This window comes from Homo sapiens, chromosome 3 (assembly GCF_000001405.40).
Source record: "Homo sapiens chromosome 3, GRCh38.p14 Primary Assembly".
Lineage (NCBI taxonomy): Eukaryota > Metazoa > Chordata > Mammalia > Primates > Hominidae > Homo > Homo sapiens.
In genome coordinates, this window is record NC_000003.12 from 166100596 (window position 1) to 166114247 (window position 13652).

At 32.7% G+C, this 13652-nt stretch overlaps 1 long non-coding RNA gene across 1 annotated transcript in view; it reads left to right on the forward strand.

Annotated features, from left to right (window-relative positions):
* Nucleotides 1-932: 932 nt before the first annotated feature.
* LOC124909497 (uncharacterized) overlaps nucleotides 933-13652 on the forward strand; it is a 69072-nt gene continuing 56352 nt past the window's right edge. Inside the window, exon 1 of the long non-coding RNA XR_007096287.1 lies at nucleotides 933-968. This is a non-coding gene — a long non-coding RNA (uncharacterized LOC124909497). The remainder of the gene's footprint in view (nucleotides 969-13652) is intronic.

Below are 13652 nucleotides of genomic sequence, written 5' to 3' on the forward strand. Positions count from 1 at the left end.
TTTACATTTTGAAGCCCTTCCTAAAGTTCATAGATTAGAAATACAAGTTTAACCTCACAAACATTTGAGGCACTTCATTTTCCTTCTTAAATTTACCCCATTTGCTCTCTTCAAATATATATAAAGAAAAATATTGTATTTGTTTTCAATTGCTGACATGAAAAATTACCACAAATTTAGCGGCTTAAAACACACAAACTTACTCTCTTACTCTTCTGTAGATCAGTTGTCTAGTGCATATCTCATGGAGTTAGAATTAAGGTTTATCAGAAAGAGTTCCTTGCTTCTTACAGATTCTTGAGGCTACCAGCAATCCTTGGCTTCTGGCTATATGACTCAGATCTGTTTATTATCACAGTATCTTTTTTTCTCTCTGATATTCAACCTATTTCTTAAAAGGACCATGATGATTATATCAGGCCCACTCAGGTAATATTTCCATCTCAATATCATTAATTTCATCTTATCTGCAAAGTCCCTTTTACCATATAAGGTATCAGTCAAATGTTCTAAGGATTAGGAAATGGATATCTTTGGGAGGTATTTCTTCAGCCTATCGCAAGTACTGATGTTCAACTTCATAAGTTTGGGAGTCACTATTTGAAGACTGAAGAGTCCCCAACAAGGAAAAATTCTTAGAGGGATAATGCTTGGAAACTCAGCAAGTAGCTAGCTGCTTAGGTAAGCTGAAGGGGAAAATACAATGCTGTACAATTTTATGGACAATTTTCATGGCCATGAGTGGAGAGCTGTTGATCTTATTCAAAAGTTGTGTTTATTTTTAAATATTGGAATTTACAATTATTAGAAAGCTGTCATGACCCAAGACTCATTTTATTTGTTTGTTTATTCAAGTAGAACATTGGTAGCCATATGATGTCTGGTCAGGCAGTTTGGAAAACTGTTGACGTCGTTAGAATGTCATCATGGACCTTAGGAGAGCTAAACTGCTCAGCTACCTCTATTTGGTAATATCAAAGATTCTTTCCTCTGGGATATTGGAGGGTTTCAATTACCATAGAATTATAAAGTTCATGAGCAGTTCCTAGATTTTAGCTGTAGAACTAAATTCATAATAATTTAGTTTCTTTTTTATTATATAATGAATATGCTGAGATTAACTAAATGAAAAGCAACTATTAAAGCAAATTTTGAGCTATTAAGCATATGTTAGGGACGAATATATTTTGTACTGGACTTAAGCCAATATACTCTCTTATAACATTATTAAATAATGGCAACTATAAGGAACTTTTACCTTCGCTGATTTTTTAGAATCTGCCAAATATTTGCATTTATTAACTTATATAATCCTGAGTATAATCCTATATGGTAGCTGCTATTTTAATATGCATATTCACATACTTAGGAAAAAACCAGAAAGGCATTTGAACCCAGACAATGTAGCTTCAAAACTGATGTTCTTAACTACTAACACTATACTGTCCATATGAAATTTTACCAAACTTCAACAAAGTTAATTCCTAAAATTCCAGTGGGAGTTCTATTAACAAGTCAATGATGCTTTAGTGAAAAGAACTATAGTACAAAATGAATGAAGCAATAGAAACTAGCACAATTTGTTAAAAAAAATCTAAGATGTGGAAATAAAATGAGTTACTGCCACATAAAGCAAAAAGCTCCTTGGAGAATTTTCATATGCTTTCCATACTAAGGTATTGATAGCCACTTGGACGGGCGTAGCCCGCAGCTAGGTCTTTATTTTCTAGTTCTGCAAATGCTCTCTCACAGTGGTCCCCTATACATTTTATCACTCTACCCAGATCCATTTCTCAACATTCATTTTACAAATACTTTCTGAACCTTCTATGTAATAACAACAGTGTTATCACAGAGTCAGTGAGTCTATATGTATGTTTAACATACATTAAAACAATTTTTTTTTTGAGACGGAGTCTCGCTTTGTCATCCAGGCTGGAGTGCAGTGGCATGATCTCAGCTCACTGCAACCTCTGCCTCCCAGGTTCATGCTATTCTCCTGCCTCAGCCTCCTCAGTAGCTGGGACTACAGGCGCCCGCCACCACGCCCAGCTAATTTTTTGTATTTTTAGTAGAGACGGGGTTTCATCGTGTTAGCCAGGATGGTCTCCATCTCCTGACCTCGTGATCTGCCCGCCTCGGCCTCCCAAAGTGCTGGGATTACAGGCGTGAGCCACCGCGCCTGGCCTAAAACAATATATTTTTAAATTTACAACTGTAGTAAGAGGCACACACACCACAATGAAATATCATACTCGTAATCTAAGTGATGCAACAGTTGCAGAAATTATTTAGCTGGCAAGTGTAGTCATAAATACTTATAATTTGTATATTTATTATGCATACTTTATTAATTGCATTTATATTGCTTTAGGTATATCTTGAGATATGCTTGAATTTTGTAACAAATATAATTTGTCTCAAATATAAAGTCACTCTAGAAAGTTACCTCTGCTTTCAGATGTCTTCAGAAATTCACCAAAAATATGAGGAGCTTGTCATGAGTTTAAGAAAATATTAGCTAGTTAAGAATCTAACACGGCATTCCAAAAGGGTGTTCGGTCATTATTGCCATAACCCTTCTTTTTTTTCTCACTCACTATTTACTACCAGCCCTACCATTTCTCTCCTGGTCCCACTTCTCACCAGTTACTTATGTGAACATTCACACCCCATACATACTCTTTCATACTTTGATGGAAATATCAGAAGTGATTTGGTTATTGGGCATTTTTGTCTCTGCTATTAAAATGTCAATATATAAACTGTACACTATAACTGGAATTCCAGGCTATCTGATTTATTTTAAATGCTTCTGGTTCTCATCTAAGTTCTGTATCAACTTATCATTTCTGCTTTTGCTACTTAATGACCTAGACTTGTACTCAGAATTTATTTCTGCCTCTATCATTTAGCAGAGAAAATTCCAGTAAAACATGCTAAGTTCTAAGTTCTAAATGACAGGTGGAGTATGATTTCACAGGCCTCTTGCAATTTATGTGGGCAGTATGAACATTTTCTGGCTGAATTGCTGATTATTTTTATTGAGCAAGTGTATTTTCTTCTATGGTTAACTTTGTTGCTCGATTATTACTCAATTACTTATTTTATTGAGCAAGAGCATTTTCTTCTATAGTTGATTTTTGTTACTCAATTGTCCTCTAGCTGTAGTATCGGCATAAAAGTATAAATATCCTTGCTAGACGATGCCTGCTTACTCTTGTGGTAGTTTTACAGTTTAAGAGTTTATACTTTTGCTTATTAAAAATATGAGTTGCAATTTTAGTACATGTTATTATTACCAGGCTACTAAAGTTCTTAGGCAACATGCTTGTTTATTTCTTTTTATTCTTTCCTACTTTTGTAACAGTTCCCTCTGTCCCATAAAGTGTTAAAAGTGGGTTTTGCCATATTTATCATTATTACAGAAAATGAAAATACCATAGTAACTATAAAAAAACATAAAAGCCAGTCCATGGTGGCTAATATTATGGGTCCTTGTTATAAAAACCAAAATCAATTCAGCTGAATGAAAAAGCTGGAATTTACGCAAGCTCCCTCTGTGTGCTGTCTTCCATTTGAAACAGCTCAGTGCATCTTAGAAAGAATATAATAAAGGATTAAGAAAAAAATTAAGTGTTTTAAGATACCTTTTGTAAAAATAAACTTAATTTTCCTTTTTTTTAACTAAAGGCCTACTTTAGCTCACATATATCAAACAGCAGACCAAAGTGATTATTTCGATTTATTTTGACAACAATTCATTGTAATTATTTTGAAGTAAAGAACTGGACTTCATTTTTTTTTCTGCCTAGGAAGTAAGACACTGTCATTAAAAAAAATATATTGACTAAGAATTTACATTAGATTGACCATGTGAATTATCATAAGTTCATACTGCCAAACACTGCTTTCTTTATACAGAATGATTTCTCAGATGCTATGGAATTACTGAATTGAACTCTATTTTATACAAGAAAACAGATTTCTAAAACTGTGACTTATTCATTTTGTATAAAAACATGATATAATGTATCTGAAAAATAAAACACTTTATGGAATTCTAAATTAAAGAGACATTTTTATGTTAGACAGAATTCTGGCATCTCCTCAGTGTATTTGTATTCGTGAATATGTGTGTTATATGAATGAATAAATTTTGGAAAGGAACTATATTTTCTACCTAATCTTTTTCGAATAACTCAGTTATTTAAGTAATTGCAGTTTTTGTAATGAAGATTACTTTTGCACCAATCTAATATATTGCTCTTTGTTGGATCTGGGATTTAGTTTGATCCTACTTACTACTTAATATGTTAACCTGCGGCTGTTACATATGCTGGCAGAAGACAAGAGACTCCTGAGTTAGAGTTAAGAGATTTTATTGATTCCAGAACACAAAGCATCTATAGTCATCATGAACATATTTCTATCCATTCTCTTTGTCCCCAAGTCTCACAAGGGCCATGTGAAGCAGCCTGGGTGGATATTGCATTTACAATGGGTTTGCTTCACAGCTGAGGGAAAACACTGACCTAGGGGATCTACTCCTTTCATATCAAGCAGTAAGCAAACATACTCTTTGTCTGGTAATACATCATCTCCCAAGGTTACTGCACACACACCCTACAAAATGGCAGAGGTGAAAAGTGGTCAGGGCCTTGTATTCTTAGCATACTCAGCAAGAAATACAGAAAAACAAGAAGTCCAAAGAGGATTTTTAGTACTCACACACTGTCCCTCCTCACAAAAAATAAAAGATACAATTGATGTCTAACTTGTTTACATAGCTGTAGCATAATTTAGAATAAGTTTTATGGTACTGGTGATATATAAATACATATTTTTAAATGAAGTTGTCTATTTTAGTAATGATGGACTACTAGAACAAACTTAAACAGTCAAAATTTCTATTTTATTCATATTCTGGAAATATAAAATTCTATTAGTTTTAGCTATTTAACTATTAAAATGATATAATATGGATTCATGCAATTCAAAGTTTTTCAAATAACGGAAAATATTATCAATATAAAAATAGAGCTAATATATAATTATTTCTCTCTTAATTTCTTAAAAATAAAACTGTTCCTCGGGTGAATTTAAGGGGAAATAGGTAATAAATTATCATAGTAAAGATATTTGCTTATTTGAATACTAGGGTTTGGATGAAATTGTATGATGATGTATTTGATATATTATTTTACAAATAAAAATGCATTTGTTTTGTACATTTGAAAGAAGTTTTAAAATTGTATTCTGAGCGATAGGGTGTGTTTTGAAAATAAAATATGATTTTGTAAATTACATTATTTTCAATATCAGGTAAAATATGAGAAAGTAGTTTATAACTATATTAAAAAAGCTAAAGTTCAAATTATTTAAATGGTTTGTCTATTATTTAGGGCAGGACACTAGTTTGCAGAGAAAACAACTTTAAAATTGAATCTTTGGAGGACTCCACAGGATATTAATGTACACTATTTCTTCTTGATCCTTTGAAATTGAAAAGTATATAAAATCAGAATAATTGACAATTTATTGCTGGCCCAATACATACTATATAAAATGACATGCTAAAGCCTACAGTTTTCTTCCACATTAATGAATAATTGTGTCAATGGTAACTATCACTGTATGTGTTTATTAAGTTAAATTTATTCACTTTCGGGAGTAAAAAACTTTGATTTCCAATTATTAGTTGAAATATTACTTCGTGTTTTCTCTCCATAGTTCTCCTCTTTCATTAGTTCACTTACAAGAGATTACAGCTCGTTGCCTTGTGGATTTTAGCCAGTCATCCTAGAGTCGAGCCTCTATATCCTTTCTAAAAGCCTGAAAGTATGGAAGAAATTCTGTTCAGCAAGGATTCAGGAGATATTGAGGAGTGTTTGGAAACTGAAAGGAGTTCGGTTCCGAGGAAATCTGTGAAGGCAATAGCAGTTTTTGGTCCTTTCCCTATTTCTTAATGAGGTCTTTCCTGACCATTTCATTTAAATTACTTAAATTGTTTTCCTCCTCATCCTGATCTCTATTTTCCCATATCACTTACTAACTTCTAACATACTGTATAATCTACTTGTTTGCCCTCTTTATAATGTACAGTTTGCCTTCCTTCATTAAAAAGCAAGCTCTGTAAAGGCAAGACTTTTTTTTTTTTTTTTTTTTTTTCCACAGTTGCTCCTGTTTTGTTTAACTTCAAAAGTAAAAACAGTGTCTCATGCCTGTAATCCCAGCACTTTGGGAGGCTGAGGCGGGTGGATCACCTGAGATCAGGAGTTCCAGACCAGCCTGGCCAACATGGTGAAATCCCGCCACTACTGAAAAAAGAAGAAAAAATACAAAGATTTGCTGGGCATGGTGGTGGGAGCCTGTAATCCCAGTTACTCGTGAGGCTGAGGCAGGAGAATCACTTGAACCCTGACGGCAGAGGTTGCAGTGAGCCAAGATGGCGCCATTGCACTCTAGTCTGGGCAACAAGAGCAAAACTCTGTCTCAAAAAAAAAAAAAAAAAAAGTAAAAATTGATTTCAGTTTTTATAATGATGACTAGTAAAGTAAAATAAAGGGAATGGAAACATCAAAAAATTTGAAATATTCTGATTTGAAGGTGAAAAAGTGAAGGGAAGATAAATATAGCTCGTATACAAAATTTTAATTCAGTAAATTTTATAGAAGTATATGAACTGTATCCACTTATTTTTATGAATCAATAAATAACTTCAAGTGTTTAATTAATTGGACTAATGGATGACATAGATTCAGTGTATGAATATTTTAACCAGTGACATTTACACTGATTAACAAGATAATTAAAGAATGTTAGTAGTCACAGTCCATGAAATGATTAACAATACAGTACTTCACTTTTTTTACGTGAAAGGGAAGAGGGTAACAAGCTTACTTATTCAAAAGATCAAAAGAAAAGTCTATTATTCTCAGATATATTTTTAAAAATCCCTTTTGTAAGTAGTTTCTTCTTTTTCTATGACTATGTATGAAGGAAATAAGAATTGAATTTCTTAAAAATTCAGTTGGTGCTAGACGAAGGTCTCCAAAACCTCCAAATGGCCAGTCAAAATTATTCTGTAGCCACAAGGAATTAACACATAAAAATGGAAGTGATTGCTTATTTGTTGAAGCCATTTTCCAGTAAGTTTTCTTTTTAAAGTACGTCATGAAGCTTAAATAAAGTGATGATAACCTGCTTCTCACTGTTCTACTTCAAATGGGTCTAAAGAGAATGACAAAAACCCTCAACCTGTCAGTATCTAAAAGTGTATCCTTACATCATCATTTTTCTTGTAGCCCAGTGACAGAGAGCAATATTCGAAATCTCATCTGTTTACTTTCCTTTCTATATTTTTATTTTGCTAATCTCAGACATTTTAGCTAGTGGAAAAGTACAAGATGATTGAAGCAGCTATGAATTTTGGTTTACTCATTCACTCCATGTAGTAACTAGGGCAAATTGCCAAACATTTCTGAGGACGAAATTCTTTCATTTATAAAAAGCATGACTATGGAATTAATTTATTTTTTTTAACACTAAAGAAATACATTAAAAGTTGCACTTATATATCCTACATAGTCAATAAAAGTTCATTCATGTTTCACTCCAATCCTCAATCCCAATAACTGACAATACTCTTCTGTTACTATTGATTATGTGGGAACCAAAGAAAAGCATCCTCTCTGCCCTCTCAAAGTTTCTTAAAAACAAACTGACAGTAGATAAAGAGGGGAAAACGCATACAGATTGATTTAATGTGCAAAAGAATGGGGTAACTGCATAAGGATGATTATCCAATAACCCAATGAGGTACGAAGCTTATATACCCTTCTTCATAAGGGAGGAGGGAGATGGGGAATGTAAGTAATTATTTTGAAAAATAGTGATTATTCTGAAGAAGAAATGGGCCCAGAGACAGAAATTAACTTTTGAATGATTCCCTTTGGAATTTGAATGAATCCAAGGGGCAGATATTATCTTGTGAAAATGTCTGCCCAGGGGTAGTTCCATTCCTTAGTCTTCTTTTTCTAAATATAGATAGATTGATAGACAGACAGACAGACAGACACACACACAGATAGATAGATAGATAGATAGATAGATAGATAGATAGATAGATAGATGATAGATAGTTAGATAGATAGATAAGATTTTAGGGAGTGTATGGAAGGCAATTGTATTCTGTTTGGCAGGCACTAGTCTTAAGGTAGATAACATAATAGAGTAGAGCCTTGCTCAGCATCAGATAACATTCAAGGATATTTAATTTAAAAATAGCATACCAGGGTGCCATATTTTGGGGAAAGTTTCCTAATATCCTTCACTTTGTTTTTTTCTACTGGATCCATAAACTTAATTAATGTAACTTAATTTTTTTATGATTTATTCTGCTCTAGGGGATGTTTTTGTTTAATATGTTTGAAGAAATATATTAAAACAAACAAACAAAAATGTCCATTCATGGAATGGAGATATTAGCAGATGCTTTGGAGATGGGGCAAAAGTACTTCAACTACTCACACATGTAGAAAACTATCTTGCTCTGCCTATAAGTAAGATAATCATATCTATTGTGTTTCCCCTTTTGTTTTAATTTGTTATACTTTATTCACTGAGATTCATAAATCTATTTTTTTTTTTTTTTTTGAGATGGAGTCTTGCTCTGTCACCCAGGCTGCAGTGCAGTGGCCCGATCTCGACTCACTGCAAACTCCGCCTCCCAAGTTCAAGCCATTCTTCTGCCTCAGCATCCGGAGTAGTTGGGACTACAGGCGTCCACCACCATGCCCGGCTTTTTTTTTTTTTTTTTTTTTTTTTGTATTTTTTTAGTAAAGATGGGGTTTTACCGTGTTAGCCAGGATGGTCTCAATCTCCTGACCTCGTGATCCACCCTCCTTGGCCTCCCAAAGTGCTGGGATTACAGGCATAGGCCACCGCACCTGCCCTCATAAATCATTATTAAAGGGATTTAGATTTAATGATGAGATAAGAGTATTTGGCAGAATGAAGCATTCGTTAAATAAATGTTAACTGAGCATCCACTTTATGCATGACATACTTCGAGAGACTAAAGGTACAATGATGAAAAAAGACAGACACATTTTCCTTAGGAAACGTCTCTAACATGGAAAAAATTGAAAGAATATTGGACATAGGTAACAATAGCTAGACCTACATTTTAGAATTACATCAATGTATCATTGTAAACTTCAGAACCCTGATTACTAAATGACAAGGTGGAAACAGATAACTTTTAGTTTATTTCAACCATAGGAAGGTATGTACAGGCTATTTATGCCACATACCAACAAAACTAGTTAGAAAAATTCAGCTAAAATTTCTAGCCAATTGCTGAAGACAGTATTTATTTGGATTAGTATGAGAGTGGAACATTTACTAGCTGCATACCAAAGGGGTGTCCATACACCTACTCAGGCTTTTCTCTAAAAATATCTCTAGGAGCACGCCAGAAAGATGAGCGTCAATGCCAGAGATGAGCAAAATCTACCCTTGTGGTTCAAGCCTCAGGGAGAACAACAGCAACGGCTGTGGAGATAGCATGAAGCCTCACACAGCCCCTTTTCCTCTACCTCCCATATGACAAAAAAGGCCTTAAGCCACAGTGGGAAGGGTGTCAAACCTCCTCACCCACAGAACACAGGTATAGACCTGTTGCAATCAGGAGAAAGCCTTAGATAATTAAGAACCATCTACTGATGGGAGGAGGGGCAAGAAGATGAATGAGCAAGTCTTATCCACAAGACAAAACATGCTGAGCAATAACAACAAAACAGCATGTCCAAGAAAAGGTTAGCACGACTTAAGAAAAATGAAACAAACGAAAACTGCAATTGACTGCTGGAGGAGGGGAGGGGAGAAAGCAGAGACAATTTTGTAATCATCGGTGTAAAGAGAATACTAAACTGAGCATGGAGAAAACGTTGAGGAAAACCCAATAGAAAATCTGCTGTAATCTAACTACCAGGTAACAGTAGAGAAATTTAAAGCCCGTTGTTCCCTAAGAGTAACTGCAGCAACAAAAAATCTGAAACCTAGATCAGGTTTCCTTGAATAAACATCCCACACTAGAAAAAAAAAATGAATGTCTATTTTCAGGAATAAAAAATATATACTATAATTTCTACTGTCAAACAAAAGAAATCTGACAGTCAGCCAATAATAATTAAACTGTGGAGGATCAAGCATTAAAACACACTCTGTCAAGAAATAGAGCAATCAAAAGAATCAGATTCAGAAATGATCCAGGTGTTGGAATTATTAAACCGGGGATTCAATATAGATATAATTTTTGTGTTAAATGTTACAGTGAAGATGAACAACATGCATAAAGAAATGACTACTATCAGCTGAGACTCGAGGATAATAAGAAGGACATGAATATGATATAAATGTAAACACAGTAAAAAGGATAAAAAATGCCTTTGAGTTGACTCTCAAATCAACACAATTGAGGAAACAGGGACACTGACGGATAGACCAATGGAAAGTACTCAACTGAAGCAAAATGAAATTAAAAGTGAGAAAAAAAACAAAGCCATGGAAAATGCATTTTAAATGGTGTAACTAAATTTGAAACTTGAGAAGAGAAAAAGAATAAATATGAAGATATAATGTTTGGGATTTATAAAAATTATTAAAAGCCATCCAAACAAAGATCCAACAAGCTCAGATAACATTAGAAAGGATAAAACAAATGAAGAAACAAACACCCTTAGCTCATAATATTCAAAGAGCTAAAAATTAATGAGAAGTTGAAAATCTTAAAGAATCAAGAGAAACAAATTCATTACATACAGAGGATCAAAATGAGAAGTACCAATTTATCATCAGAAACTGTATGATCCACAAGGCAAGACTGATATTCTTGAAGATATTCAACAGAAAAAAAATGATTAATGAAGAATCCCGTACTCATTTTCAAAAGTGAAGGGTAAGTCATGATTTTCTCAGAAATACAAAAGCTGTGAGAAGATAGCAGACTTCTTACAAGATATATTAAAACAACTGCTTCAGGCAAAAGGAATATGATACAGAAAAAAAACTTGGATTTATATGAAGAAACTAAGAGCTCTAAAACTGTCATCAATTAAGGTAAATGCGAAGTATTTTTTTAAAGATTTATTTATTTATTTATTTATTTATTTATTTATTTATTTATTTTAGAGACAGGGTCTTGCTATATTTGTTGCAAAGCCTACAGTGTAGTGACTATTTACAGGTGGGATCATGGTATGCTACAGCACTGAACTCTTAGTCCCAGGCTATTCTCCCGCTTCAGCCTCCCCAGTAACTGAAACTGCAGGTGTGTGCCACCAAGCCTGTCTTTATATTAAATTAAAAAAAAGATTAAAGGAGAAATAATAGCAATTAAGTTTGTGTTTATAACTTTGTAAAAGTAAAGTCATAACAAAAGTTGCACAAAAGATGGTGGGGCAATTGAGAATACACAATTTTCAGATCCTTAAACTAAATACAATGCCAGATACCAACAAAACCAGTTAGAAGAATTCAGCTAAAATTTCTTGCTTAACTAGAATACAAATTAGATCCTTAAACTAAATACAAAATGAGACAATATTTTAAATAAGATTGCCATTAGTTAAAAATATATATTATATATTTAATATTTTAAGAAGTATAAAAATCAACCAAAAATAAATATAAAATGGACTGAGGAAAAAATCTATTACTCCCAAAATGGCTGAAAAAGAGGGAAAAAAGAAACAAAAAAACAATTGGGATAAATAAAGAAATAACTACATAGATAGCAGATTCTAATACAATGTAACTGTAGTTACAGCCTAAGTATACCAAATAAAGAACACAGGGTATAAGAATATATCAAATAAGCAAAATCAAACAATTATGTATTTACAAAAATGAACTTTAAATAGAACAACATAGATAAGTTAAAAGTAAAAGGCTGCAGGTGAATAAAACATGCAAGCATGAATCAAGAGAAACTTGGAGTGGTTATATTAGTATTAGACAAAGGATATTTAGAAGTAATAATGCCAGAGATAAAGTAAGATATTACGTAGAGATAAAGGATACAATTCACAAAAAAATAACAAATTTAAATGTATACACACCTAACGAATGAGTTTTAAAATTAAGCATAAATTATATTAATCATAAATTATAATATTAAGCATAAATCATACAATTACATTAACAAATACACAAAAACACAATTACAGTTGTATGCTGCAATAACCCACTGGTTAAATAGGTAGTCACAGAAAAATTAGAGAATATTTGGATGCAGTGAAAATAAGAACACAATTTGTAAGGAACAGCTAAAGAGGTGCTCACATTGCAATTTATAGCAATGCAGGAAAAGAAGACAAGAAGAAAGTCTCAAATCAGTTATCTAATTTTATACATTAGCATAGTAAAAAACAAAACATAAATTAAACAAAAAGCAGGAGAATAAAAAAATAAAGATAAGAGCAGCAAGCAATAAAATGAAGAATGGAAAAATAATCATGAAAAAATGGAACCAAAAATTAGTTCTTTGAAAAGATCAATAAATGTAATAAAGCACTAGCCAGATTGACCAAGGTTTGTTGAGGGGAGAGGCAGTGGGAAGAGAGAAGATACAATATACAAGTATCAGAAATCAAATTTGGTACAAATATTTTGAAAGTTACTAAAAGATCACTACTCTACAAACAGTTTTATAGCAATGCACTACACACTTGACCACCTAGATAAAATGGTGGCATTGTTGAAAGACAAAAACTTCCAAAATACATCAAGAAAAAACAGAAAACATAAATACTTCATACATGTTTCAGACATTAAATAAAATTTGTAGTTAAAACATTTAAATAAGGACAATTTGAAACTACATTGTGTTTACTTACAAACACTACCAAACATTTAATGAAAAAGTTACACTGATCGTACACAAACTCTTCCATAATATATAAGTGACAAAACTTCCAAACTCATTTTATGGAACAAAGCAATTAATCTGACTTGACAACAAAGTAAAGACAATTCAAGAAACTACAATTACAAACCAATGTACCCCATGAGCGTAAATTCTCAAACATACAACATATACTAGATTTTGAATATAATCATGTGTCCAAAATAAAATGCAAATGGAAATTATTCATCCAAAATATAATGCAAATGGAAATTATCCTAGGAATATCATTATCTTAGGAATGGTTCAGCATTCAAATTCAATCAATGCAATTCACAACATCAACAAATTAAAGATGAAGACTCATTATCATCTCAACAGAAGAAGCAAAACATTTTATAAAATTCAATAGTTATTTATAATAACTACATTCAAAATACTAGGACAATAGGGGAACTTCCTTTACCAGATAAAGGTGTATACAAAATCCTATATTTAGCCATGCTGAAAGTCTAAATATTCACCCTCTACTATCAGAAACAATGAAGCATAGCCTTTCTCACCACTCTTATTCTACATTGTGCCAAAAGTCAAGCTACTACAAAATGAGAAAAAAAAAAGAAGTAAACTATAACTATTTGCAGACAATGTGATTGCTACACAGAGAATTCTAAATAACCAAAGATATTAGAACTCATAAATGACTTAGCAAGGTAAAAACGTACAAGGTCAATATCTGAAA